Source organism: Homo sapiens, chromosome 17 (assembly GCF_000001405.40).
Source record: "Homo sapiens chromosome 17, GRCh38.p14 Primary Assembly".
In the NCBI taxonomy this organism is placed as follows: Eukaryota; Metazoa; Chordata; class Mammalia; order Primates; family Hominidae; genus Homo; species Homo sapiens.
In genome coordinates this window covers 76,526,277-76,553,864 of record NC_000017.11, presented here as the reverse complement: position 1 = coordinate 76,553,864, position 27,588 = coordinate 76,526,277, and the positions used below count along the sequence as shown (strand labels likewise).

Genomic DNA, 27,588 nt, shown 5'->3' with positions numbered 1-27,588 from the left:
AGGCAGGAGGATCACTTGAGCCCAGGAGTTCAAGACCAGCCTGAGCAACATAGGGAGACCCCCGTCTCTACCAATAAAAAATGAGAAACAGCCAGGTGTGGTGGCACATGCCTGTGGTCCCAGCTGGATGGGAGGCTGAGGTGGGAGGATTGCTGGGGCCCGTGAGATTGAGGCTGTGCAGTGAGCCATGACTTCATCACTGCCCTCCAGCCTGGATGACAGAGCAAGACCTTGTCTCAAAAAAATAAATACATAAAAATAAAACAGTCTTTAGAATATTGAGGTTAATTTCTCTACCCAGAAAGCAATCTTTAATTTTATTAATAAGAACACAAAAGAAGGTAGGTAGTATCCCAGACAGCCAACTGCTTACATTTGGAACGGTGGCAGCAGCGATATCACAGGAAGCACATCTGTGTGTCAGGCACTGTTAGTGGCCAGTCTCTTCCTCCGTCTGGTGAACCTAGGCTTCGTTCAGCTGCTGGGCAAGAGTCTGCTTCAGCGGGACAAGCCCCTCCCCAGCCCCCAGGGGCAAACCTTGATTCATCTGTACCAGACATGGTAAGTCTATTCCCTTTGCTGGAAATTGTTTTAGGAAAGGGTCTGTGATGCAATTCTGGCCAAGTTTAGGAAAGTTTTCCTGCTTTTAAAAACAACAGCCTCTCTTCTGGCTTTGGGACACTGAGAAGAAGTGATGCTGGGCCTGCTGGAGCCATCTTGCATCTGCGAGGCTTCCATTAAGTAGGAGCTGAAGGACTGCGATGGCAGAGTAGAGAGAAGAAAGAACATGAGTCCTCAGTGATGCTGCTGACCCGCAGAAACCGCCAGTCCCAACACCCCTGAACTTCAGACCTCGTTTTGATTCAGAGACACATTTATACATTTCATATATATATACACACACATATATATGTATACATGTATACATATATATACACATATACATGTTTTATATATATATATTTTTATATATATATATATATTTTTTTTTTTTTTTTTTGAGACAGAGCTTTGCTCTTGTCGCCCAGGCTGGAATGCAGTGGCATGATCTCAGCTCACTGCAACCTCTACCTCCTGGATTCATGTGATTCTCCTGCCTCAGCCTCCCAAGTAGCTGGGATTACAGGTGTGCACCATCACACCCAGCTAATTTTTGTATTTTTGGTAGAGACAGAGTTTCACCATTCTGGCCAGGCTGGTCTCGAACTCCTGACCTCAGGTAACCCACCCACTTCAGCCTCCCAAAGTGCTGGAATCACAAGCATGAGCCATCACAGCTGGTCGCATTTTCATATTCTAAAATGCAGGATGTGTCTTACAAGCAATGGCATCTCAGTTTGAGTGAATTACAAAATGTGAGATTTTAGGCTGGGTGCAGTGGCTCACGCCTGTAATCCCAGCACTTTGGGAGGCCGAGGAGGGTGGATCACGAGGTCAGGAGATTGAGACCATCCTGGCTAACACAGTGAAACCCCATCTCTACTAAAAATACAAAAAAAAAAATTAGCCAGGCGTGGTGGCGGGTGCCTGTAGTCCCAGCTACTCAGGAGGCTGAGGCAGGAGAATGGCTTGAACCCGGGAGGCAGAGCTTGCAGTGAGTGGAGATCGTACCACTGCACTCCAGCCTGGGCGACAGAGCGAGACTCCATCTCAAAAAAAATAAATAAATAAAAAGTGAGATTTTAAAAAGAAATCTTATTAAGTCATTTTAAGTTGGGTGTTCTGTTTCAGTCAAATCATCCTAAATGATATCTTTTAAAAATAATTCTTCCCAGAAGAATGGATCATGGCAGAATACAGAAAATGAGCTCATGTGTGCAAGCCTCCTTCCGGAAATCATAACAGCTATGTGTATATGAAGTGTTTACTCTGTGGCAGGTACTCTGGAAGCACCTTTTATTCACTGTCTCATCTGATTCTCATGACAGCCCTGTCATTATCCCCCACCCCCCCACCTTCCCATTTCACAGCTGAGGAAGTCAAGGTGCAGAAAGGTTAAAGGAACTCATAAGTGAAGGCACTGCGATCTGAACTCAAACAATCCAGCCTAAAAACCCATGGTCTCAGCCACCATGCCATGTTTCCTAAAAAAATTACGCTATGACAGTGGACCGTTTTTGCTTAACTCCAGAGACTTTAATTCACCCACCTAGAAAACCTGTCATGAAAATATAGAGGATTTTTTCCTGAGAGTTCTTAGGACCGTGAAACAGTGTCACAAATCCTGTTCAGAAAGCTGGGATCATGCAGATGACCAGGCAGATGGAAGAAAAGTAAAAATATAAAAATTTAAAAACCTGGGATCACTGCTTTAAGTTTCACCGAGCTTTAACTTTCTGGAAGAGGAGAAATATAACACAGACCCTACGCATTGAGAATAGATGGCGTTGGAGTTGTGGATTATCTGTGCTTGCCAACAGTGTACAGGAAAAAAAGCGATGCATTTGACTTCCCTGCTTGGCAGAGCCACTGCCTCTAGAGTATTACTCAAAAATTGATTTTTTAAAAATAAAAATAAATGAATTTGAAGACGATATAATGCTCCATGGATCTCTTCTGTTATTTCCTGGGCATGTCTCTCCATGCCCAGAAACCCTTGCCTTCTCACAGCTGTTGCATAACCTTTGCTTGTGGTGGTGTTTGTTCCTGTTGCCTTGAAAGTCCCTTCACTGCATTCTCTTCTCTGCTCTGCAAATTCCAGCTTGTACTTAAATACTTCCTGCGAAGTTTTGACTGAGACGCTGCAACAATTCCCGAGCTGTTTCATCGTGGCACCTTCCTGGTGGCAGGTGGATTAGCACATTGTCTGCAACCCAGGAGGACTTGGAGGAAAGTCCCAGCTCTGCTGATTCTAGCTGAGTAACCTTGGCAAAGGTCACCTCACTTCTCTCTGAGTCTTATTTTCTCATCTGTAAAATGAGGAGGAGGAGGAGGATCATCCAAACATCACGGGACTTCGTTAAATCAGTGCTTCGGGGCACTTAGCACAGCGCCTGGCGCAAGGTAAGCACTTGATAAATGGGAGTTCGTGTTATTTCAACATACTTTGAACACTCATCCCACTGTTTGATGATTATTTGTATGTCTGGCTTTTCTGCTAGATGGTGAGCAAAACAAGCATCATTCTTCATTCTTGTTTTGTTTCTAACTCTCTAAATCATCTTTATTCTCGTGTAACTTACATACAATACAGTATAACCATTTACAATGTATGGTTCAGTAGTCCAATAAGTGTATAGACCCATGTAACCACAATCCCAGTTAAGATTTAGAACACTGTTGTCACCTCAAAAGCACCTTCTTAGGCGGGTGCGGTGGCTCATGCCTGTAATCCCAGCACTTTGGGAGGCTGAGGCCGGTGGATCACCTGAGGTCAGGAGTTTGAGACCAGCCTGGCCAACGTGGCGAAACCCCGTCTCTACTAAAAATACAAAAAATTAGCTGGGCGTGGTGGTGGGCATCTGTAATCCCAGCTACTCAGGAGGCTGAGGCAGGAGAATCACTTGAACCTGGGAGGCGAGGTTGCAATGAGCCGAGATCGCACCATTGCACTCCAGCCTAGGTGATGAGAGCAAAACTCCATCTCAAAAAAAAAAAAAGAACCTTCTAGGCTGGGCACGGTGGCTCACACCTGTAATCCCACCACTTTGGGAGGCCGAGGCGGGTGGATCACTTGAGGTCAGGAGTTCAAGACCAGCCTGGCCAATATGATGAAACCCCGTCTCTACTAAAAATACAAACATCAGCTGGGCGTGGTAGTGTAAGCTGGTAGTCCCTACTACTCAGGAGGCTGAGGCAGGAGAATTGCTTGAACTCAGGAGGTGGAGGTTGCAGTGAGCCAAGATCATGCCACTGCACTCCAGCCTGGGTGACAAAGTGAGACTCCATCTCAAAAAAAAGAAAAAAAAACAAACAAAAAAACAAAAACCTTCTTACCCTTGCAGTCAACCCCCACAATATCTAACCCCGGCCCCAGTCAACCACTGATGCCTTCTGTCACTATCAGTCGGTTCTGCCTGTTCTAGAATTCCGTGTACATGTCATCATCACACAGTAGGGGCTCTTTTGTGTCTGGCTTCTCTCAATTTACCCATGTCGTCGGCATCAGCAGTTCATTTCCTTTTCATTGCTGAGTATTATTCTATCTTTATATATCTCAGTGTGTTTATCTGTTCCCACGTCGAGGAATATTTGGGTTGTTTCCAGTTTGGAGCTGTTAGTAATAAAGCTGCCATGAACATCTTTGCAGTCTTTTTTGTGGATGTAAGTTTTCATTCCTCTGGGATAACTTTATAAGGAACCACCATGCTGGTTTCCCAAGTGGTTGTAACACTTCACCAGTCCCCAGCCGTGTATGACAGGGTGACATCTTGGACAGTACTTACTATGGTCGGCCTTCAGCTGTAACCACTCTGGTAGGCATGTAGTGGTATGTCATTGGGCTTTTGATTTGCATGTGGAGTATCTTTCTTCTTTCCCAAAGTGCTGGTATTACAGGCGTGAGCCACCGCGCCCAGCCGCATGTCGAACAACTTTCTATGTATTTTAGCTGTATGTTTATTTTTTGTTGTAGTGTCTATTAAAATCTTTCCCCACTTTTTTATTGGGCCATCTTATTATCGAATTGTAAAAGTTCTTTATGTATTCCGGATACAAGTCCTTTCTCAGATTTTTGTTTGGCAAATATTTACTCCTAGTCTTTCCAAGAGCAGAGGTTTAATTTTGATAAAGTCCAGTGTATTGATTTTTCTTTTCTGGTTAGTGCTTTTTGTATCCTGTTGAAAGGACCTTTCTTTCTCCATTGGATTGCCTTTCTGCATCTGTTTTTGGATTCCATTGATCTGTGTGTATATCCTTATGAATCTCACACTGTCTTGACCTCTGATTCTGTCTCCTCCTCACCTTAGCAAAGCCACTGTGGTCCGCTTGGGTTTCCCCTCCCCAAGGCACAGTCAGGGAACTGTCTCCAGGCAGAAGCTGAGGCAGTCATGGGGTCACTGTCCTGTGTGCTGCCTGTTGTCAAGTGTCTGCTGCTTATATCTTGCCCAGTTTTCTGGTTGTTTGTGGCAGAAGGTCTTAATCCGTTTCTGGATCCACAGTGCCTGGCACACAGCACTCCAGACACAGTTCATTACAGTTGCTTTCGATTGGGAAAGTCGGTGGGGCCCCCAGAGAGCTTCTGGTCCATCCCCTTCATTTTACTAAACTGTTCTTTTCCTGAGGAGATCATTAGTCCTCTGCGTCCTCACTCCAGCCCACCTGGGCTTGACAAATGTTTATCAAATGAGGAAACCGAGGTCCAGAGAACTAAAGGTCACAGGGACAGGCAGGGTTGGGCTGGCAGAACTAGGCCACCGAGGCTGGGGCCTTCCTATAGGACCAACCAGCAGGGCAGGGTCTGTCTCTCCTCGAGTGTCACTCCTGACACCTGATACAGGGTTTGTACATTGCAGGTTCCCAGGACACGCTTGTTAAATAAATGACCAAATGAACACATTAATTTATTTTAATGCTTAGTTCAAATGGCTTCTGCCTCTGCATATGATACTGTGTGTATTTGTGTATGTGTATGTCTCTCTGTGTGTATGTATGTTTATGTGTATCTGTGTGTGTGACTGTGTGTATGTGTATGCTATGTGTGTCTATAAGTGTATATGTCTGTATGTGTGTAAATGTGTATGTGTCGGTGTATATGTGTGTGTGTATGTGTGAATGTGTATGTCTGTGTATGCATGTGTATCTGTGATTATGTGTGTGTGTTTCTGTGTGTCTGTTTTATTTGTGTGTGTACATGTATGTCTGTGTGTATGTGTGTGAATGTTCGTATATGTGTATGTCTGTGTATGCATGTGTATGTGTGAATGTGTGTGTGAATGTGTATGTATGTGTATGTTTATGTGTATGTGTGTGTATATGTGTGTGAATATGTTTGTATATGTGTATGTGTGTGTGAATGTGTTATGTGTGTCTGTGTGTATGTGTATGTGTGTGAATATGTATATGTGTATGTCTGTGTGTGTGTGAATGTGTGTTGTGTGTGTGTGTGTGAATGTGTGTCTCTGTGAATGTGTGTATGTCTGTGTGTGTATTATATGTTTGTATAGGTATATGACTGTGTTTGTGTATGTGTGTGTGTGAATGTATGTGTCTCTGTGTGTGTGTGTCTGTGTGTGTGAATGTGGGTGTCTCTGTGTGTGAATATGTGTGTGTGTGTGTGTGTGAATGTGTGTGTGTTCACATAGGGACAGGATTGGCCTCTCCTCCCCAGGTGCACAGGCTGAGTCTGTTAGTAAATTTTTAAAAATTTTCTCAGTCCCCCACTACAGTCATCATCCCCACTAGGGGGCACATGTGTCACACAGAGAGGGTCTGTGCTCCTTAGGCACAAGGACTGGCTTCCCACTGTCAGCGGATCCCCCTGAAAGCCACCTCCTTGGTCTCCATGGCCTGCACCCTCCCCCTGCAAAAACAAATCAAAACAACCTTCCTCACCAGGCTCCGCATCTCCAGCTGGGCTGCTGGCTGCCATCCTGTCCTCTCCCCAGGGCCCTGCCCCTGGCTGAAGGAGGCAACAGAGTGGCAGTTGCAGTGACTGTGGGTGATGACCTCGCTGTCTGTCATCCCTGCCAGAGGCCACCACATCCTTCCTGAGGAAGACTGAGGGGTCCTAAAGGGGCAGCTCTCCTCTCCCCCTCACCTGGCAGGCAAGAACCAGCCTCTCAGGGCCTAGAGTCTGGTCTGCCCTTGAATGTGAGTTCCTGAAGACAGATTGGTGGCAATGACCCTGGCCAACACCAGCCCACTTGCAAAGGCAGGCTGGGCGGGACCACAGCTCCATTCCTTGTGCCTTGTAGACAGGTCACAATCAAAATTTCCTCACGGCCCCCAACTCGAGACTTGGGCCCCCTCTATCCCAAGCTTTGGTGTCAGATTTCCCAGGCTCAGGTCCTGGCTTCACTGCCAGCTATGAGTGACCTTGAGCAAGTTCTGTGAACCTCACTTTCCTTATTGGATAAATGATAACAGTTCCTGCCGCATAAATGAAACAGTGCGTAAAATACAGCAGCTGGCACAGTGCCTAGCACATAGTAAGCGCCCAATGCATGTTAGTGGTTATTAATCATACGATTAGTATCATCATTATGTTAACATAAGCTTCCGTGCGAACCAAACTGTTCTTCTGAGGTTCACAAAGAAGCATTATCTTCCTCTAGCTCTAGGTCTTGGGCTTCTTCCTAACAGTGAGGCCCCCCACAGAGAGGCTACGGGAGCCTGAGGAACCAGCAGGGTTTGCTCTCTCGCCATTGTGCCTGTCTCATAGTGGGCACTGTGCCCTACCCATCTAGTCTTGGCCCACCACCTGTACTGTTTGCCCTTGCCCAGGACTGCGCGCACACACACACACACACACACAAACCACACACACACACAACCGCACACTTGGAATGGGTGGGTACTCCCCAAGGTGACATCTACACCCCAGGGTGACAGTGGACAGCCACAGCTGCAGTGGCTACTTCCCTGGCTCCCACCACACCCCCACCGCCTCATTAGTTCCCTGGTCATGCTCCAGTCTCCAGGAGAGACTGGCAGCCGCTCTGAGCCTCAGTTGCAGGAGCAGCACCTCCCTGCTCCTGGTTGCTGCCCTCAGCCGCCCTGCAGCTCCAAGCAGCCTTTCCCCGTCACTCAGGCTCCCCCAGCAGAGATATTAGCATTCACACGGAGGAAGGTACCACAGCAGGGCAGCGCCTCCCGTCTTGTCAAGGAGCTGAGGTTCATTCCGGAAGCAGAGCCAGCTGGGAGTGGCGCTGTCCAGGTCGAGGTCACCACTGGAGGTTGGGACATGGTTCTGGGCACAGAGAGGCAGTGGTGGTCTTCTCCAGTACAGGCTTACAGGGGGCTTCCCCACCCCAGCAATGCCACCCTCTGCCATCCTCTGATCTGTTGCAGAACTACCGGTCGCCCAGCTCTGTGTATGTGGAGAGACGGCAGGAAGGACCAGAGAGTGAGGATGTGAGGAACTCTAGCCGTCCTGAATCTACCACTGTTCAGTAATTTACAGTTCAAACCGGATTGTGCCAGCTCACATATATGGGACACTTACCCAACATGCTAAGCATCTTCCACACGTTATCTAATCAACCCTTACAACTCTAAGAGACAGATACCAGTAGGATCTCCATCCTACAGCTAAAGAAACTGAGGCACAGAGGTGTTCAGAAACTTACCCAGGCCACAGAGGTAGGATGTGCTGGTGGAACAAGGTTCAAACCCAGGAGCTCTGACTCTGGACACCTTGCTCTTGGACTCTTGTTATTTCACAGTAGCCAGCACCCTAGACCAGAAGGGACCCCACCCTTTGGCTCAGCTCTCCCTCTCTAGCTGCCCTTTATCTGCCCTCTCCCAAGCCCCTGAGCACTCCTGCTCCCATTCCCAAGCAGCGGCTCTTTGCAAGGAAAGGGATGAAAAAGGACTCAGCCTCAGTGGGGACAGTGTCATAGTCAGGATTTAATTCCCCCATTTAAAGGTCCACCCTTGCCCTGAGCTTCACACTAAGCCCTGTGATGGGAGCCAGTGGGCCAAGGAAGGGGCACCCGGGTCCCAGGAGCCTTCTGTGGGGAGCTCTAGGCTGAGAGAGGTAACTTTCTGCAGCAGGAGCTGCAAATGTGCAGACTGCGCAGAGAGCCCAGGGGTGGGAGAGGCCCCGGGAATAAGAGGCGAGCGTGGGCTGGGTGTGCGGGGAAGGTGTAAACACAATCTGCTCCCACCAAAGCCAGCCTGCTCCCTGGGGGAGACAGCCCCCCCACCCGGCCCACATGGCACCCCAGCTGCCCAGGCAACCTCCAAGCCCAGGCAGCCACAGCCCCGCTGGCCGCCAGCAGCCCCTTCCTCTCTTTTTCCCGCCCTTCCTCTGGATGGATCCCTGGAGCAGCCACCACCTCCTGCGCAGGTTCTCGGAACAGTGGCGTGGAGGGGCGCTGCCCTGGGGAAGTGCGTCTGGGCCGTGAGCCAGCTCCATGACCTTGGCCTGACAATTCCTCAGACCAGTGGAAGGAGATGAGCAACTCGGAAATGGCAGCAAGGATGAGGTGACAGGAACATGGCAAATAGAGAATAAATGCAGATAGGATCGGGGAACACAGACTGGGTCCCGGGAACAGTGCCCTCTGGCCCTCAGCCTGACAGGCCTGTCACCAGGAAGGCCGATGCCTCCAAAGAGAGAGACAGGCTGACAGGAGCTGAGACAGGCGATCACGGGCTCACGGCCTGGGTCAGGCTGGCGCTCTGGCTTTGCCTCTGCAGGCTCCTTCCCTAGTGTGACTTTCCCCCTGCCTCCTGCCTGCCCTACTTTGAGAGGCTCCCACAGAACTGCCTTCGCACACACCCCAGCCAGGCTCCCCGAGGTACCAGCAGGCCCTCCCCAGCGGGGTGCACCTCCTCCCCCACCCTGAGCGCCTCCCCAGCGGTTCCCTCTGCTCTGCGGCATCCCTCACCCTTTCCCTTCCTTCCCTTCAGAGGCAGAGTGGCGGCTGAAGTGCTGCTGTCTAGAGAACTCCATCTTCTACTGCCTGGAAGTCAAGGGCACGGGCCAGCCAGGCAGAGACATCGCCGCTGGGCTGGGAGGGGGGCTGGCTGGGGAGGAGAGACGCGTGTGCACAGAGGCACGGGGGGTTTTTGAAGACTAATAGCTGTGAGACATCAGGAGCAGCTGCCTGCAGGGTCTGCTCCTGGATCTGGGAGCAGAAGCGGAAATCTGCTTTTATCTCTGCTCAGGATCATGCAGGATTGAAAAGAGAGAAATGGCAGAGCAGCTGGGGGCAAAGGAGGCAGCCGCCGGGACTGAGCATCAGCAAATTGATAAAAACAAGTGTCAGGCTTTTTCCTTCCCACACGCTACTGCCCGTTTGGAACACACGCGCTTGCACACATACAGAAAACACATTCGGAGGACAAGCTGTCCGTTGCTCCCATCCAGCTGCAGGCAGACATGTCACAGATCCAACTGGCATTTCTTATTGATAATTTCAGCAGAGCAGCCAGTGACAGGATGAGCTCTGGGAACTGGGGAAAGGCAAATGACACAAAAGCGAGTGCCACTGTGGCAAACCGACACCAGCACCTCGGACCACAAGTGGCGGCTTAACAGAATAGCTCCTGGGCTGACAGGCAGTTGGCCAGGCCAGCAAACCACCCCCAACCCCTGCAAACTGTTAGGTTCCAGGGGGAGGCCGCCTGCCATGGTGGGTAGGAGCGTGGGCTCTGCAGCTCCAGTGTGAGCCTGGGAGCCTCCACTTCCTAGCTAGGTGATGTTGGGCAAATTATTTAACCTGTCTCTGTGTTTCCCCATTTAGAAATTGTGGATAATAACATTACCAGGCTCTGTGGGTGACTGAAGATTAAATTACAGAATGAATGGAAGCCCTTGCTTAGTAAATGTGAGCTATCAGCCGTCCCTTGCTTCTGGGGTCTCCTCACTCCTTACTTATTCCTGCCTCTTGCCTGGGCTGCTGGCTGCCCCAGAATTAGCCTGGTGGACCCAGCAAGTCCCTCATCCTAGGCTTTCTCAGGCTCAGCAGTCCCTCAGAGGAGCCTCAGGAACTCAGAGGGAAGGAAGCCCGTCCGAGAGCAGCGAGCACGTCTGCTCTTTCTGCCAGGCCCAGCCAGGTCCTGCTCAGGAGCCCACACCCAGGGCCTGGGGGAAGGGGAGACTGGCAGGTCCCGGGCTGAGAGGGAGGCGTCTACCTTCTCTAGTGCTGCTTCCCCCCATTCTCCCTCTTGCCGCTGCTGCAGCTCCCACAGCATCCTCCTGGGCTAGGGGACGAACCAGGACCTGAGCTGAAACAGAAAACCAGAGCAGATCAGCACTTCTCCCACACCTGGGGATGGGACTCGCATTTCAGAGTGGATGTTTCCGAGCACCGCCTCTCCCTTGGGCGTCCTCCGACACTGCCCTCATGCCCCAGCACGACCACCTCGCCATCCCCAAGCCTAGAAAATGTGGTCAAACTACACCTGGTTCTCTTCAAACTCATCCTTGCCCCATGGCCCGGACCACAACAGGCTCAAGGTAGCAGCCAAAGGCATGAGTCCATCCGCCTACTTTGAACCTCCATCAGTGGCAAGAGCTGAACACTGCCTGCTATCCTCCCACATGGCCGGGACTTGCCTGTTGCTTCCTGCCTGTCCCAAGCCTTGCCCTCTGCCCTCCCCGGCTCCCAGCCCTGCCCTACCTGCCTGAGCCAGCTGATCCCAGTCTCTGGGCCTGAGCCCCACCTGCAGAGGTGAGGGCTTACTTCAGAGGTTCTTTCTCCCTAAACAGAGGAAAGCACTGGGGTCAGGATTGAAGGGCACGACCTTCCCATGTTTCTGACTCTCCTCTTCCTCCTCCTCCCATCCCTATCAATTCACCCCAATATTGAGGGGCAGGACCACCTAAGGAATCAGTTGGCATTTAGGACAGTGTGACTGGAGAGTAGAAATGTCACCCCCACTGCCAGCCTTCCACGGCAGCCACCATCGGCAGGTGGTTCCTCGATGTCAGACCAATTTTTCCAGTTAACTGGGTCCCAAGGAGTTAATAGGCAACTGCTTCCTTCTGGCTAAGTCACGCCAGGCCAGGCCTGGCCAGATGGTCCTCAGATTTGGCCTTTTCTCTCCTGCCAGGAGGTCCAGGCCCATTTCATGTAGAAGAGACCCTGCCTGGAATCGGGCCTGAGCATCCCGCATTAGCCACAAATGAGATAGATGATCTGGAGCAAGCCACCTAAATCTCCCTGTCCCTCAGTTTCCACAACCATTAACCAAAGATTAAAAACACATGTCCTGCCAATCCTCTGGGGTTACTGAGCCTCCCGAGTGACTTAATAGGTAGGAAACCTCTGGAGAAAACTAAAGCACAGGTCCCGAGCATGAAACAAGACAGCTGCTAGCATTTATGGAGCAATCACTCTGCACCCTCACCAAAACCTCACAACCACTGTTATTAATCCTAGTTTACATATAAATAAACTGATTGCATAAATTTCCCCCATAGTCTTTCCATTAGTAAGAGGGAAGCCAGAATTTAAATTCTCCCTGCCCAACTCTAGACCCGGGCTCAATAGCGTGGACCACCCAGCATTTGAGGGCCTCCTATCGGGGGAGGCCCAGGGGTGGTCATTGTAGCTGATTTAACTAGTGATATCAATTAGGCACTATTATGATGATGCCAGCTGGCCTATCGAGTTGAGGTGTCGCAGAAATGCCTCCGCTTCCTGTACAGGCCCAGGGCTTCCCATTGGGCCTTCTGATCATCAGAATCTCAGGACTCAGAATCCCAGGACTCAGACGACAGGAGACAGAAAGACGGAAGTTCTCTCGGTTGCCAGTTTCCGCATATCTAAGGGACACATTGCTGGCAGGTCCCCACTCAGAAAGAGACATGGATGGTCACAGTACCCGCCACCTGAGTCTTCCCTGTGTGGAGACACCCTCCTGCCAGTGCGCCCTGACCCAAAGATGTCATCGGATCTTTTTTACTCTTTGTTTCACTGGGAGCAAAAAAGTCACTCTTCAGACAGGTCTCCCACGCTAGGTGAGTCCATAGGCACAGAAGGAACCCCTCATGCATGGGAACTTCATAAAGATTTGCTGATTTTTTCCAGTGTTTGGTTGGGATAGGCGCCCCTATCATCGAACGACACTGGTCACCCAGGGAAGGAAAAGTCTGGAAGTTCCCCCAACTTCACCCCCTAAAGACCACATGGCTCCAGCCTAGGGAAGAGTTAACTTTCTGGCCACTGGAGACAGCGTCCTGCCCGCAGGGTCTGCCCAGCCAATGGCACTCTATGCTGATGATGTCATGCTCCTCCCGCGCCTTCTATTGGGGACTGGACAGCGAATCCTGCTGGAGGCTCAGGCAGCCTAGCTGAGGCAGGGCGGGGGCAGAGGAGGAGGAGGGGGAAGGGCAAGGAAAGGCGAGCAAAGCCACACAGAGCTACTCCTGCCTCATCCCTCCTTCCACTCCCCTGTGCCTTCTGACAGAAGGTGCCCCGGGGGACCGCCCCGTGCTGGAGATGAGAGGCACAGCGGCTTTGGTCCAGAGGAGCGAGCTGAGGGTTCCCATTCCCAACCGCAGAAAACAGACATCCAGCCTGCCCAGCAGGCGGACAGGGAGCAGGGTGCTTAGGGCAAGGGCCAGGATACGGTGCACGCACAGGCGCGCACAGGCACACACGTGCACCCCCAGGCATGCACAGCCACAGCTTCCTTGGCAGCACCCTCCCTCCCCCAGCCCAGACTCCTGCCTTACCTGCCTGAGGACTGAGGGTCCGCATCCAAGCTGCTGCCCCTAGCTGCCCCATCCACGTCGCTGGGCTCTCTGTGGGAGGCAAGAGTAGGGAGGAAGAGCTATGGCTGTGCCCAGCCCCTCACTGTCCCTCCACAGGTCCAGGCCGCATTGGGCTATGGGAGTAGAGGCTGCAACTAGAGCCTTTGAAGCTCTAAGTCCCCCTGCTCTGAGACTGTGCTCTCTCAAGGGTTCCTCAAAATGCCCTCCCAGCCCCGCTGAAGGTTCACGCAGCCCCTGCCCACCTTCAGCTTGGTGGCAGCCCAGCCCCATGCCCCCCCCCCCCGACCAACCGCCAGCCATAGCCCGGTCAGTTTCTCACGGTTGGACTCGGTTGGCAAATCGGCGGCGCCAGAGCATGGCCAGGGTGCTGAGCAGGAAAAGGGTGGTGCACATGGCGCAGCTGCCCCATCCCCTCCCAGGCCAAGTCTGCAGAAGGCCACAGGCGAGGGGCCAAAATGGCCCCAGCCAGCTCTCAGGAGCCACTGCCGTCTGTCCTGCGGTTCCTGCTGGGGATGGATTAGGAGGCTCAAGCTGATTAGTGGGTCAGCGGCCCCGACCTTGTGAGGACTGATTAAGCTCACTGGGCCCAGGTTCTCCCCTCCAGCGGTAGGGTCAAGGCATGCACTGTGGCATTGAGCACGTATTCGGAGTCTCGATCTGATGAGACTGGGCCTTGCTTGCAAGGAGCTGCCACTCTAAACAAATGTGCTGTCAAGTACAATGACTGCAGTAGAGTGACCCAGGAGTTATTCAAGGCGCCTACAGGGCACTTTCAGAGTTGCAGGCATCAGGGCAACGTTTAAAGAGGAGCAAGGGCCTCTGAATTTGCAGTGCACAAGGCAGGATGAGCCCTCAGACAGAAGACGCTGCCGAAGCTACTGACATGAAAGCATGGAGCATCTGCCAGTAACTGCAAGGTGAATGGAGGTGAAGCAATGATGTCACCGTGGAAGCATCAGGAGAGGAGGAAGAAAGGGGAGGAATATTGGATAATGAAGCCAGAGAGACGGGAGACTCAACAGTGAAGGGCTGGCAGTTTTACCCTCTGGACAATCCTCTCCAAACTTTTCTGATTACACGCCCTCTTCAGTAAAAGGCAGAATTCAAGTGTGCACTCACAAAATAGACAGGTGCAGCCACTTACAAATTATATGCTAGACTACTGTACAGATTCATTCCTACACCATACGACTATATTACATTTGCAAAGGATGAGATGAAAAGAAATAGTTACACGATTTCTCCTATTTTCTTTCCACATCCCAAGGGGACCTGTTGGGCAGCCACTTGGTCACACCAACTTTGAGAAGCTGTTCAGTGTGTGTGTGGAGCATGGAGCCAGCCATGGCCACGCTGAGACATGGGTCTGGGAGTGGTGTGAGAACCTGAACCCACCCGCTCCCCTCCAGCCCCTCCAAGACCCCCAGGAGGCATTAGATTTTCATTCCCTCAACAAGGGGGAGACAGTGTCAGAGGCACTGCCTCAGGGTCCCCCAGGCACCTGAACCCTGAGCTCCCAGGAGGGGCCCAGGCTGCAGCTGAGGCTGGCCAGGGTGAGTTCTCCTCGCCTCCCCCGGACCTTAAAGTCGGATTTTAAGAATAAATACATGAACCATAGTGAAAGCGCAGAGCCAACCCTTAGCAATGCTTGGGCAATGGGACATCAAGTCTTGAGCGAGGACAGGGGTCGCCGGGAGCCTGAGTGACATCTCTTCCCAACACTGCCAGGCCCTGTCTGGCCTCAGGCTGTCCCCAGGACTGAGCAGCCGCTGCAGGGCAGGCACCATGGGATTCTCCCCCCACCTCTGGCCCAATCTCACACTGCCCTGGATAGGGCCCACCAGGAGGAAGGATTTGCCTCCCCCAGGCCCGGAATCGGGCCCTTGGTGGCGGCTGAGATGTCCCCAGCAGCCTGCGCCTTCCTCAAGACTTTTTGTCTGCCAGGTCCTGTCTGCCCTATCCGGTGCCTCTCTGGACTTCCTCCGCCACCAGCTGGGCTAGAATTCAGGGCAGCGGCTGGTTCTTGCCTGTCCGTGTCATTCATAAGCCACGGGGGACTTCTGGCCGCCGCCGCCGCGTTCGTGCACCGAGGGCATGGAGGTGCTGGGCGGAAGGAGAGGGGGCGCAGGCCTCTGGCGCCCGAGGTCGGAGGTGCGCTCAAGTTCCGACAGCCGGGGCGGTGGGCGGGCAGGGGGACGACCCCCGTGCTAACCCCCCAGAGCCTGGGCGTCCAGAGCCGTGGGAGTGGCGCCGCGGCCCCCAGCGGCTGGCTCGGGGGCGCGGGGAGAGGCCCGGGCGAGGGGAGCCCAGCTAGGTCCACGGCGGCCGCCGGAGGGGCTCCTGTTCGCCCCCACGGGCGGGCTGGCGGTCGGCCTCGCCGCGAAAGCTCGGGAGTGTTGGACTTTGAGTCAGTTCCCCGCCGCGGGAAGGGTCCGCACGCGCACACTCGCGACGCCGCAAGCACTGGGACCCGGAACCCAGCGCTCCCGGCCCGCGCCCGCCCCAGCGCACTCCTGTGCGGCCCGCGCCGCCCAGCGCCGCGTGACCGCCCATTCCTCCCGGGACCCCCAGCGCCCCGGCCACACCTACCCGAGCCCCGCCCCGCGGTGCAACTCCGCCGTGGCCTGCGGGTGGGCGGGCGGCAGTCGCGTCGCCCCCACCCCGCGCAGCCTTCACCTTGCCGGCATTGGCTCTTACCCACACGGGGCTGGGGGTTTGGAGCGGATTTGTTTTTTTAAACATTTTCCAGCAGACCACATCCCCGCCCCACCGCTGGCTGTCCCCCGCCCCCCGCACATATACCCTGCACACACGCACGCACACACACACACACACCCGGCGCGCACAGACACACGCTCCCTCCCTCCGCGCTCTACCCCTCGCCCGCCCGCCGCGCACGCAGCCGGCCCCGGCTCCCGGCGCCCCGCGCCCCGCGCCCCGCGCCCCGCCACCGCCGCCGCCGAGCAAAGCCGGGCTGGGCTTGGAGCTGCTCATGGAGAAAGTGCCAGGCGAGATGGAGATCGAGCGCAGGGAGCGGAGCGAGGAGCTGTCCGAGGCGGAGAGGAAGGCGGTGCAGGCTATGTGGGCCCGGCTCTATGCCAACTGCGAGGACGTGGGGGTGGCCATCCTGGTGAGGTAGGTGTCGCCCGGCCCGGCCGGGCCCTGGGCAGGGAGGGCGGCAGCGGCTCCGGGCAGAGGAGGGCTGGGCCCGGGTCCGAGCTCCAGCGCCACCTCCCCAGCCGCGAATGGGGCCGGTCCGAGGTCGGCGGAGCAGGCGGCGTGGGGCGCCTTGGGGTGAACGAAGCCTGGGTTGAGCCTTCCCTGGCTCCGGCGCGGTGTTCACCAGGATCTAGGAACCAGATGCAGGAGAGCACCTCGGTCCCCCTCCTCTCCCCGGCCTCAGAACTCCTTGCTCGGCCAGCCACCCCAGACACCCAGCCAAACTGTCAGACACACACATTTTTCTGGCCTTTCAAAGGTAGTATAGCAGGGGCTCCCCATTTTAGAGATGGGAAAACCGAGGCTCAGCCAAGAAGCGGGACAAAGAGGAGCAGAACCCTGTCTCCAGCTCAGCGGCTTGCGGGATTCAAAGCCTCTTGGAAGAACAGAGAGCAAAGAGCAGAGGTTGAGAAAGAGGAGAGCCCGGGGGGTCCAGTGTTCCCAGCTGCCCCCTTCCCGCTGGAGGGCACGGGCCAGCAGGAGCGCCCAGGGCAGGCACAGGTGAGTGGAGAAGCAAACAGTCCCCTAGGATACAATCCCTGCTGAGTTTGGAGGGTGAGGGGAAGAAGAGAGAAGCTTCAGGAGACAGGGCCTAACCCTAAAACCTCCCACCTAGGGAGGAAATGCAGTGGCTTGGGCTTAGGGGTCATTCAGGCACTACATGCCCCCAAGAGACCCACAAACACAGAGCGCCCCGTTCTTCACACACCTAGGCTTAGAGCACACACACCATCCTTATAGAGGTGATGTGTCCAAGTCTCGAAAGCTAGTCACTGACTCTAGCTACAAATCCATGCTCTCTTTCCACACGTGCTGGTCCCTGGGGGTGCAGGCAGAGGAGCCCCAGACCATGCTCACCCTCAAGCCCCTCTTCTTGGCAGAGGAAAGCGGTCAAATCTAGGACAGAGCAGGGCAGCCTTGTCATGTGCAGATGGGGTGAAGCCTCGCTCTGGAAGGGCAGCTTTAGTGCATCCTTGACTACCAGGCCTGCTCCATCTCCAGCTTCTTCTCCCTGTGGCCTCTCCCAAGCCTGGGACCGACCCAGCTCCACCATGATATGCCCTGATTCCAACTCAGAAGCAGATTTTGGAGGAAAAAGAGCAGGAAGCACTTCTAAGGAGTTAGAGGAGCGCTCCTGAGGATGGGGCAGCTATCTCAGCAGCCCCCAAGCCCAGAAACACAGTCGGGAGTGGCAGGAAGCTAAGAGGGACATTGGGATACTAGGGCCTCAGACGCTCGGAACCACCAATCCCCACAGGTGCTGGCACCCACACAAGCACATTGTGGGTAGCAGAGCCGCAGATGTGCCAGACTGCGTCCTCGGAGGGTGCCGTCAGCCGTGTGTCAGCACCTGCAGCCCACCGGCCTTGCATGCGTCTGGCACACTCATGGGTCACCATGAAGAAGCGAGGCAGGGTCCTCAGGACCTTGGAGGTTTTGTGTCCCAACCCCTGCCAGGTACCTGTGCGGATACGTGGAGGAAGTGCTCACCGTCCACATCATGGAACACCATTGAACCTCCCCAGGAAGGGGACCAGGGTAGGGCAGATGCCAAGGGAGAAACGAAACACCGAGGCCAGGGCCATGTCTGGGCAGTCCGAGTTTTCAGCAAGGATTTCTTTCTCTCTCTACACCCCTCTTCCAGTTCCCCACTCCTGTCTCTTAGAGGGGCCTGGGCCTGGGCTGGGGGAGGTCATTACCAATGCACTCAGTGCCCAGAGTAACCCCTCACCACTCTGACTCCACTTCTTTGTGGACTAGAGCCCAGCCCCAGGACAGCCTGGCCCAGCTTTGTCTCAGCCACTCCCTGCCAGCCCAAGCCCCACAGGGCCTTGCTTTCCTTTTTCTCTCCTCCTGTCTCTGTCCAGGGCCTGGTCAGTGGGGGAAGGGGAAGAAAGGGGGATAAGGGCTCCTGAAGGTCCCTTCTCAGATCCTGGGCCCGTCAGTCTTGACACAGCACCCTGTCTTCCCACACACAACATACACATCCTCAAGGTCAAGACCCCAGCTGCAGCCCTCTGGCCAGCACTCTCACCTCTGCCCTCCCCACTGCGCCAGGCCAGCACCCTCAGCCCTTATGAGCCTGCAGGGCAGGAAGGAGGCAGCTGCACTTCCACACCCCCAACCTGGAGAAGTTGCCACATTGGTGGGGGTGGAGGAGGCGTTGCTTTAGAGCCTGAGGCAGACCCCACACTTCCATTCCCTGCCAGGGAGGAGACCAAGAGGGAACACCCACCCTCCCTGCTGGTTGTAACTCTGACACCTTCCTCCTCACACTCAGACAGGCCTATTTCAGGCTCTCTTGGAAGCCCAGATGCCTCTGGGAGCTGAGAAACTCCCCAGGGCTGGCTGTGGAGGCTCCTCCCTGGCAGCACAGGCTGAGACCGGGAGGGTCTCAGGTGGAAACACCGCAGAGCCAGGAGGAAGGAGCCAGGCACATGGGCCCCAGGGGCCACAGAACCGTGGAGGGTCTGGGTGGGGACTCCCTGAGACTGTCATTCCTCAGGGCCACAACCCGGTGGTGGGTGTTGAGGCAGGAGACACCTGGTTACCAGGCCACGATCCCCTGGCACAGCTGTCTCTCCAGGCAGTGTAGGGAAACTGTCAAAGCGGGCCTGCCTGGGCCCCTTCCTGGCACTGCCATCTACTTTGTTGGGCAATCTTGGACATCAATTCCTAATTCATAGGATGGGGATTAAAACAGTGCCTACCTCAGGAGAGAATTGCAAGGATTCGTGAGATCGTACAGTAAGTGCTCAATAAATGTTCCCTGTTGTTTCCTCATCAGTAAAATAGAGGTAATACCCGCTTAGCTGTGGCAATTAAATACAATAACAGGCCGGGCACCGTGGCTCACACCTGTAATCCCAGCACTTTGTGAGGCCGAGGCAGGCAGATCACCGGAGGTCAGGAGTTCGACACCAGCCTGGCCAGCATGGCGAAACCCCGTCTCTACTAAAAACACAAAAATTAGCCGGGTGTGGTGGCGGGCACCTGTAATCCCAGCTAACTTTGTGAGGCTGAGACAGGAGAATCCCTTGAACCCAGGAGGCAGAGGTTGCAGTGAGCCAAGATTGCACCAGTGCACTGCAGCCTGGGCAACAGAGTAAGATTCTGTCTCAAGAAAGAAAGAAAGAAAGAGAGAGAGAGAGAGAGAGAGAGAGAGAGAAAGAGAAAGAGAGAGAGAAAGAAAGAAAGAAAGAAGAAAGAAAGAAAAAGAAAAAAGGTACAATAACATTGTAACACAGCAGGCAAATATATATATCATTGTTATTATTTTGTCAGGGTCTTGCTCTGTCACCCAAGCTGGAGTACGGTGGCGCCATCATGGCTCATGGCAGCCTCCAATCCTGGGCTCGTGATGCGATCGGATCTTCCTGCTGCAGCCTCCCAAGTAGCTAGGACTACAGACGGGCACCACCACACCCAGCCAATTTTTTTCTTTTTTTCTGGAGACAGGATCTCACTATGTTGCCCAGGCTGGTCTCAAACTCCTGGCCTCAAGTGATCTTCCTGCCTTGGCCTCCCAAAGTTCTACAGGCATGAGCCACCACACCTGACCTTTTATTATTATTATTATCATTATTTCTTTGGATTCAGGGTCTCACTCTGTCACCCAGGCTGGAGTGCAATGGCACAATCTTGGCTCCCTGCAGCCTTGGCCTCCCGGGTTCAAGTGATCCTCCCACTTTAGGCCCCTGAGTAGCTGGAATCAAAGGTGTGTGCCACCACACCTGGCTAATTTTTTGTATTTTGTAGAGACAGGGTTTGCCACATTGCCCAGGCTGGTCTCAAATGCCTGAGCTCAAGCAATCCACCCGCCTCGGCCTCGTAAAGTGCTAGGATTATAGGCGTGAGCCACCGTGCCCGGCCATATCATTATTTTTTATTGCAATTGTAAAACCTCCAAAGTCTGAGATGCTTGTTTAAGTCCAAATTGGGTTTTTCACATTTGTCCCTCATTACAGTGCTTCTCCAGAAAATTCAATGTATTTTCAGACCCGTCGCCTCACGTGTCCTCACCCGTGTATCCATGAAGCAGTGAGCGGGGGCCCTCCTCTTGCCCTTCTGCAAACAGGGAGCTTGTGAAGCGGTTTGCCCAAGGTCACAGTTGGCCTCTGAGAGGGGCCCTCCTGAGTCTCCACACAGACTGTGCCCTGGTCACTGTGCAAACTTCCCCGCCAATAGCAGTTCCACCAGCAGCAGGGATGACCCGGCCAGATGCCCTCTCCGCATCTGTTCCAGCCCTCACATCTGAGACTCGACTCCTGGCCAAAGGGCTACTTCCGCAAATTATCAGCTCTCTCTGATCGCAAAGGGGACACACGAAGGGGCAGAACAACCTGGAAGAACAGGTCCAGGCCACTCCATACATTTTCTGGGGATTCACTTAAGTTATTTAAGTTCTGATTGAGTCGGTGCCCATGTCTCACATGACATCCAGCCCCGACAGGGAGGGGAGGTGAAAAAGTCATTGTCGGCCGGGCGTGGTGGCTCACACCTGTAATCCCAGCACTTTGGGAGGCTGAGGCAGGCGGATCGCCTGAGGTCAGGAATTTGAGACCAGCCTGGCCAACATGGTGAAACCCTGTCTCTACTAAAAATACAAAAAATTAGCTAGCCGGGCGTGGTGATGGATGCCTGTAGTCCCAGCTACTCAGGAAGCTGAGGCAAGAGAATCACTTGAACCCAGGAGGCAGAGGTTGCAGCGAGCCAAGATTGCACCACCACACTCCAGCCTGGATGACAGAGTGAGACTCCATCTCAAAAAAAAAAAAAAAAAAAGCCATTGTCATTTTTCACACTGCAGGGCCCCAGCTAGGGCAGGGGGTCAGAGGGTGCGTGAGAGCCTTGGGATCCAGTCTGACACGCTGGAAGGAGGGCAGGGAAGGTCACCTGAGTAGTGCCAATGGCCTCAGGGGCAAAGCATTTCCCCTGGGCCAGCCTGCTCCAGGTAAGGCATGTCTGACACAGGAAAAGGGTAGTAGAAAGGAATGTGGCTCACCCGAGGAACATTTTCCCAACTGTAAGTAAAGCCGCTGAGCCAGGACAGGGATGATGCGAGTATAGTGGGGAATGTGGACATGAGTTTGAAGAAGCGGGTGGGGGACAGTTCAGAAGTCTGGAATGCCCGGTTAAGGAGTTTCACTTTGGCAGACAATAGGGAGCCATTGAATGTTTTTGAGCATAAGCATGACTTCATGAAAGCAGTATTTTGGGAGAGTCAGAACAATTTCAGTCCAACTAGAGAGGATTTAATTTCAGATCAACTCATGATTCCAGAACCTGAGTTCTTACCCTCTCGGCTATGACTAGAGCAGGGCTTGAAGGGGGTGTAGAGTTTGGGAAGGAAGCAAGAAGCGAGGAAGACAGAGGCCTAGGAGATGAAGCCGCCAGCCTGAGCAAGCCTGGCAGATAGACATGGCCAGACTTGGTAGGGGTGAGCCGGCTTGGCCAGAGGGAGGAGGGTCTATGCTGAGGTCTACTGATGGTAGTGAAAACAGTGACGGTGCGGGGGTGGGGAGCACTGCGGTCCACTTCTTCAGCCCCCACTATCCTGGAAGCTTCAGGGTGGGCCCGAGGCAGCCTCCAGCTTCAGCGACCACCCCTGTTCCTCTTGCCAGGTTCTTTGTGAACTTCCCCTCGGCCAAGCAGTACTTCAGCCAGTTCAAGCACATGGAGGATCCCCTGGAGATGGAGCGGAGCCCCCAGCTGCGGAAGCACGCCTGCCGAGTCATGGGGGCCCTCAACACTGTCGTGGAGAACCTGCATGACCCCGACAAGGTGTCCTCTGTGCTCGCCCTTGTGGGGAAAGCCCACGCCCTCAAGCACAAGGTGGAACCGGTGTACTTCAAGGTATGCGCCCCCATCTGCTGCAGAGCCCCCACCGCCCACGCGTCATGGCCATCTGCAGCTCGCAGGCTCTGCGACGGCTCTCTGGAGCAACAGAGGTGATCCCCGGAGTGGCTGCGAGAGGGAGGGGCAGTGCCCGGCAGCAGGATGGAGGGGCTGGGTCCAGGGCAACCCTTGTCCTGAGAGCACGGGGTTCCCAAAGCTGCCAGACTGTTGCGTTAGGAATGATCCTCTCGGCCACACGTGGGGCGGAGGGGCCTGGGGGTTGCAGGACGCAGGGCGCCCGGGCGTTCACTCCCCCTTCCTCCCTTTGCCCCCAGATCCTCTCTGGGGTCATTCTGGAGGTGGTCGCCGAGGAATTTGCCAGTGACTTCCCACCTGAGACGCAGAGAGCCTGGGCCAAGCTGCGTGGCCTCATCTACAGCCACGTGACCGCTGCCTACAAGGAAGTGGGCTGGGTGCAGCAGGTCCCCAACGCCACCACGTGAGGAGGCGGGCGAGGGTGGGCTGGGCAGCCTCCCCGCCATGTCCTCTGCTGTCCCCGAGGTCTCCCATATCTCCTGAGGCCCTGGGGCTGATCACCTGGGCAGGCACACTTGAGGCAGGCCAACCCTGGGGTCTGACATGTAAGAACAGGCATAATAGGAAAGGCCTTCAAGATGGCTCCCCTGTGACTTCAGGCTGCTCAGAGCCATGAGCCCTGAGCAAAAATCCTCCCAAAGAGCCTTCCCCTTCCCTAGAGCCAGGGAGAGCTCAGAGCACCCAAAGCCACAGCTGCCCAGGCAGAGAGGCGCCAGAGGCTCCTGGCGGTAAGGTCCGATCATCAGGCTCGGAGGCAGCCCAGGTCAGCCCAGCCACTTCCTCCCTGGGTGCCAATCACAAGGGGCTGTTTTTTCATCTCATGCCGACCAGTGCTGCTAAATGCCCTCTGCCTCAATAGGGCTAGAGCCCGGAGGATCACGAGGACACATACACACACACACACACCCCAGCCCACGAGGAAGCTACATGGGTGTCGCTCACACGCACACGAGCAGGGGCATGTTTACTTCCAGGCTGACCTGGAGGCTGGGCTTCCAGTTCTGGGCCCAGGAGGTGGCTCAAGGAGGGTGGCCGCCCTCTGTGACTCCTGCTGACTCGGAGCGTGAGGGGAGGGCTAGCCCCCAGATGTGGCGGTTGGGAACACTCGGCCTCCCTGGGCCCCCAAGGGGAGGCTGACTCTGGGAGCTGAATGGAGAGGCGGAGGCAGGGCTGGAGTAGGAAGGAGGAGAGGAGCGGAGGCGGGAATGGGAAGCAGAGGTCAGCCAGCAGCCCGGGACACGCGTGGTAGAGAAACATTCCCGTGGTAGAGAAACATTCCCAGCAGTTTCCCATGGAAAAGGCGGCGTCTCCCGCCGGGCTCTGCACGGGCCCCCAAGACTGCCGGCCCTTCTGTTCACAGGCACAGCTCCTGGAGGAGGTCCCCTGAGGGCAGCTGGGGACGCCAGGCCTCCTGCCCTTCCTGCTGCTGACCACACTGGCCCCGGGCTGGCTCCTGCTCCCCTCCCCCCTCTCCCGTCAGCACCACCCCAAGAGAGTGGAGTCCTCGGGAACTGCTGGCTGGAGCCAAGCCAACTCCAGATGTGCACAGCTGGGCCCTGGCCTGCCTGAGACCTGGGAGTCAATGGGAAACAAGCAGATGTTGGCCCACCAGAGGAGGGCACTGGCAGGGCGTGGAGAGCAGTGGTTGCCCCCTCACCCCCCACCAGCTGTCACCCAGAGGGTCCAGGGAAAAGACAGGGGAAGAGGAGGGGAGGGGGCTTGCCTGCCCTCCCACCCCTCTCCCCACGCAGGCTCTGCTGCCAAAGATGAGTTTGTTTACAGCCAGGACACAAGACTTCCTGCTTCCAGAGAAAAGGGCTTTTTTACAAGGGCCAAGAGAGACTGGAAAGAGAGCTGGCTGGGCGCGAGCCCCAGTGAATCAGAAACACATGGCCCAAGTTCCCCAGCACGCTGCCCGTCCTGCCCTCCCCACCCTGCCCTAGGGACTAAGATCTCTCCAAACCCCAAACATTTTGAAACGGCCGAAGTCTCCTCCTCCGCCCACTTCTGCTCCTTGTGGACTGAATGGAGATGGGCTACCGTGGAAACTGGCACCCCATGGGGGTTACTCCCAGCTGTCAAGTGGTGGGGTGGTCCCCTCATCCCTTTACACCCTCTAGCCCACCCCTAGTGTCCCTGGCCTGAGCCTGCAGAGCCTCCCTGCTGCCAGGGTCCCCATGGGCTCGAGGGTAGGATGGAGTTACAGAGTAGAGTCCTAGAAGGCCCTCGCCCAACTTCTCTTATCAGGGAAGCAGGGGTGGGCCAGGCGCCACTGTTTATTGAGCCGTCTCTGCTCCAGGGTGTGCGCCTTTGCGTGGGTGGGGGGTGGGGGGGGGGCGCAATGACTGCAGGGGGCGCTGTGTGTACCGAGAATACGAGAATACAGATGGGTGGCCCGAGGAGGGACGAGACAGGCCGGACAGAATGCGCCACGTTTCAGAATTAATGGAAAAAGAGCTCACATTGGTATCGTGCTTTGCAGTTTGTGAAACACTTTTTTACCCAGTTTATGTCACAAGACAGACATTATTCACATTTTAGAGAAAAAGATCCGGAGCTCCCATGGGCCAGTAGACTTGCCTGAGATCACACAGCACGTTCGTAGCAGGACGGAGACTAGAACTTGGGTCTCACGGTTGCTTTCAACTGCACTGTGCCGGATCTCTTGGCAGGAAGTGAGCCTCGCCAGCCCCAGGTCCTCCCCCTTTCCCCCGAGGGTCCTTCCCTGCCTCTGGTAACGTTTGTCCTTCCCTTCCTATCTCGTCCACAGCCCACCGGCCACACTGCCCTCTTCGGGGCCGTAGGACCCCTAACTCCACCCCCCTCCCTGGCAGCACCTCGAGCAGAAGGCCGAGTTCTGAAGACCCTCCTTGACGCTCCATTTCTGGGTGCCAAGGAAGCTGGAGGAATCCCTGACTCAACTTCCCCGAAGGAGGCCTCTGTGGCGGCCAGGGTCCCCCCCTGGAGCTGCTGGGAGGCGGCGCTGGCTGCCTGGATGCTGACCCCAGCGCGGCGGGCAGAGCGGGGCCCACTCTTCTTAGCTTTTCTACTCACTGTTAGAGAGAGACCTAGCTGAGCGGCTGGCAGGAAGCGGGACAGGTCTAGGAGTCCCTTAGGGAATAAACCAGCCCCGTTTCTATCAGCCCGGCCAGCATGCAGGTCTCCACATCACCATCTAGAGTATCACGCACACATCTACCATATATACAGATATATTCTATATACGAGCTATATATAAATATATATATACATATATATATACACACATACATATCTAGAATGTGTATCCGCGGCGCCCAGAAGCCTCGGTTTGGCCCACCTGTGAGTGGGGCAGGGAGGGGTTCCGGTTGTGCAGAGAACAGAGTGTTCTGGCAAAGAGGAAATCCCACAGCAGCGCAGAGGACCTGGGCCTGGAGGGGCAGGGCTGGGGCAACCCGGCTTGGCGGCAAAGCCCAGCCCCTTCTCAGACCAGCTCCCCACATTCCTGAATTCCACTTCCAGGCAGAAAGGAGTGGGCTCCCCCTACTCCCTCAGAGGAACTGACTCACCGGCTGTCCTAGAATGGGCAGGGGCAGAGCGAAGTTCTGGGTGGGATGACCGCACTGGGGGAGGGGCCTCAGTCCAGAAACCTCGACCGCTAGCTCCACCTGCCTTGGCCACCAGGGCAGCCCCGGGGGATCCGGGCTGCTGGGCAGCAGGTCGGCGGGACCACATGCCTGGGTCTCACCCTCAGCTCCGAGGGCCGAGGGCTTTCCCCACCCCACCCTCCTCCTGGCCGGCAGTCGGCCCTGTCTATTCATCTGCGTCAGGCTTGCCAGGGGGGCCCCCCGTGTGTGCCCCTTGGTCACGTGTGTCGTCTTCAAGGATGTTTTGCTGCTGTGGCTCCTGCTGTGTCCCCTCCTGGCCCATCCTCATCCTCATCTTCATCCTCATCCTCATCTGTGCAACCGCCCGTCCTCCTTTTCTAGTTTCTGATGTTTGTAACCAGACCCAGCTGTGTCATTAAACAGACCCGTTCTTGCTGTACCTGTGCACACTCGTGCAGTCTCTTCCTGCCACCTTCCCTCACCTCTGTCCCCCATCCCCGGTTCTGGACGCAGGCCTTTTTCCTGAAAGTCCTCCCCTGACCTCCCACACCAAGGGCGCCCCATCCACTGTCCCACACCAAGGGCGCCCCATCCCCTCTCCCACACCAAGGGCGCCCCATCCCCTGTCCCACTACCAAGGGCGCCCCATCCCCTGTCCCACTACCAAGGGCACCCCATCCCCTCTCCCACACCAAGGGCGCCCCATCCCCTGTCCCACTACCAAGGGCACCCCATCCCCTGTCCCACTACCAAGGGCACCCCATCCCCTCTCCCACACCAAGGGCGCCCCATCCCCTGTCCCACAACAAGGGCGCCCCATCCCCTGTCCCACTACCAAGGGCACCCCATCCCCTCTCCCACACCAAGGGCGCCCCATCCCCTCTCCCACACCAAGGGCGCCCCATCCCCTGTCCCACACCAAGGGCGCCCCATCCCCTGTCCCACACCAAGGGCGGCCCATCCCCTCTCCCACACCAAGGGCGCCCCATCCCCTGTCCCACACCAAGGGCGCCCCATCCCCTCTCCCACACCAAGGGCGCCCCATCCCCTGTCCCACACCAAGGGTGCCCCATCCCCTGTCCCACACCAAGGGCGCCCCATCCCCTGTGTCTCACCTTTGGCTCCCCCTGGGCTTCTCTCTAAATTGGGGATTAAGATTGCTGTGGGTTCCTCACCTGGTTCATCAGGAACGCAGGGCTGGAAACTGGAACTGGGGTTTTGTGGGGGTTGGGGGAGGTCAGCCTTGTTAAAAGGTCAGGAGGCAAGGCCGGGCACGGTGCCTCACACCTGTAATCCCAGCACTTTGGGAGGCCGAGGTGGGCAGATCACTTGAGGTCAGGAGATCAAGACCATCCTGGCCAACATGGTGAAACCGCATCGCTACTAAAAATACAAAAATTAGCCAGGCGTGGTGGCGCGTGCCTGTAGTCCCGCTACTCAAGAGGCTGAGGCAGGAGAATCGCTTGAACCCAGGAGGAGGAGGTTGCAGTGAGCTGAGATCGGGCCACTGCACTCCAG

At 55.3% G+C, this 27,588-nt stretch overlaps 2 protein-coding genes across 11 annotated transcripts, besides 4 other annotated features; one reads left to right on the top strand and one right to left on the bottom strand.

The window, feature by feature from the left end:
* Window positions 285–26,279, bottom strand: PRCD (photoreceptor disc component). 8 transcript variants are annotated; one of them, XM_047436658.1, is made up of 9 exons: window positions 13,650–13,821; window positions 13,292–13,360; window positions 11,232–11,312; window positions 10,744–10,836; window positions 9,933–10,062; window positions 9,495–9,633; window positions 8,229–8,335; window positions 7,734–7,969; window positions 285–756 (listed from the first exon to the last, which is right to left on the bottom strand). In XM_047436658.1, the coding sequence occupies exons 1-3, from the start codon at window positions 13,721–13,723 to the stop codon at window positions 11,291–11,293; spliced, it is 165 nt and encodes a 54-aa protein (XP_047292614.1). In that variant the 5' UTR covers window positions 13,724–13,821; the 3' UTR covers window positions 285–756; window positions 7,734–7,969; window positions 8,229–8,335; window positions 9,495–9,633; window positions 9,933–10,062; window positions 10,744–10,836; window positions 11,232–11,290. The 8 variants fall into 8 exon arrangements, 7 of the variants coding, with proteins under 7 accessions (XP_047292614.1, XP_016880503.1, XP_016880502.1 ...); XM_017025014.2 differs by adding an exon at window positions 6,493–6,559 and having other exon boundaries at window positions 7,734–10,062; XM_017025013.2 differs by having other exon boundaries at window positions 6,493–8,335; window positions 9,495–10,062.
* CYGB (cytoglobin) lies at window positions 2,672–26,509 on the top strand. Of its 3 annotated transcripts, none has more exons than XM_017024116.2 (4): window positions 2,672–3,003; window positions 22,174–22,405; window positions 22,723–22,886; window positions 23,844–25,247. In XM_017024116.2, exons 2-4 carry the CDS (start codon window positions 22,226–22,228, stop codon window positions 23,911–23,913), a joined length of 414 nt encoding a protein of 137 aa, XP_016879605.1. In that variant the 5' UTR covers window positions 2,672–3,003; window positions 22,174–22,225; the 3' UTR covers window positions 23,914–25,247. The 3 variants fall into 3 exon arrangements, with proteins under 3 accessions (XP_016879605.1, NP_599030.1, XP_005257062.1); NM_134268.5 differs by lacking the exons at window positions 2,672–3,003; window positions 23,844–25,247 and adding exons at window positions 16,156–16,465; window positions 25,254–26,509; XM_005257005.4 differs by lacking the exon at window positions 2,672–3,003 and adding an exon at window positions 16,156–16,465.
* Window positions 6,052–6,555: an enhancer, noted in NCBI's record as "H3K4me1 hESC enhancer chr17:74543392-74543895 (GRCh37/hg19 assembly coordinates)". NCBI's record gives its function as "activates a minimal SCP1, AML or CMV promoter by ChIP-STARR-seq in naive H9 embryonic stem cells {active_cell/tissue: H9 hESC(naive)}" and the evidence as "EXISTENCE:reporter gene assay evidence [ECO:0000049][PMID:30033119]".
* Window positions 22,491–23,224: an enhancer, noted in NCBI's record as "H3K27ac-H3K4me1 hESC enhancer chr17:74526723-74527456 (GRCh37/hg19 assembly coordinates)". NCBI's record gives its function as "activates a minimal SCP1, AML or CMV promoter by ChIP-STARR-seq in naive H9 embryonic stem cells {active_cell/tissue: H9 hESC(naive)}" and the evidence as "EXISTENCE:reporter gene assay evidence [ECO:0000049][PMID:30033119]".
* Window positions 23,225–23,958: an enhancer, noted in NCBI's record as "H3K4me1 hESC enhancer chr17:74525989-74526722 (GRCh37/hg19 assembly coordinates)". NCBI's record gives its function as "activates a minimal SCP1, AML or CMV promoter by ChIP-STARR-seq in naive H9 embryonic stem cells {active_cell/tissue: H9 hESC(naive)}" and the evidence as "EXISTENCE:reporter gene assay evidence [ECO:0000049][PMID:30033119]".
* Window positions 25,909–26,058: an enhancer, noted in NCBI's record as "active region_12810". NCBI's record gives its function as "activates an Ori minimal core promoter by ATAC-STARR-seq in GM12878 lymphoblastoid cells {active_cell/tissue: GM12878}" and the evidence as "EXISTENCE:reporter gene assay evidence [ECO:0000049][PMID:35858748]".

What these genes read in the sequence shown, in the direction of transcription:
- PRCD (XM_017025014.2), bottom strand. Translation starts at nt 13,723, where the DNA reads ATGTGCACCACCCTTTTCCTGCTCAGCACCCTGGCCATGCTCTGGCGC. An exon ending in TTTGCCAACCGAGTCCAACC is followed by an intron (nt 13,361 to 13,649) that starts GTGAGAAACTGA and finishes TGCCTCCCACAG; the next exon opens with AGAGCCCAGCGACGTGGATG. An exon ending in GACCCTCAGTCCTCAGGCAG is followed by an intron (nt 11,313 to 13,291) that starts GTAAGGCAGGAG and finishes TCCTCTGTTTAG; the next exon opens with GGAGAAAGAACCTCTGAAGT.
- CYGB (XM_005257005.4), top strand. Translation starts at nt 16,323, where the DNA reads ATGGAGAAAGTGCCAGGCGAGATGGAGATCGAGCGCAGGGAGCGGAGC. An exon ending in GGGGTGGCCATCCTGGTGAG is followed by an intron (nt 16,466 to 22,173) that starts GTAGGTGTCGCC and finishes TCCTCTTGCCAG; the next exon opens with GTTCTTTGTGAACTTCCCCT. An exon ending in TGGAACCGGTGTACTTCAAG is followed by an intron (nt 22,406 to 22,722) that starts GTATGCGCCCCC and finishes CTTTGCCCCCAG; the next exon opens with ATCCTCTCTGGGGTCATTCT.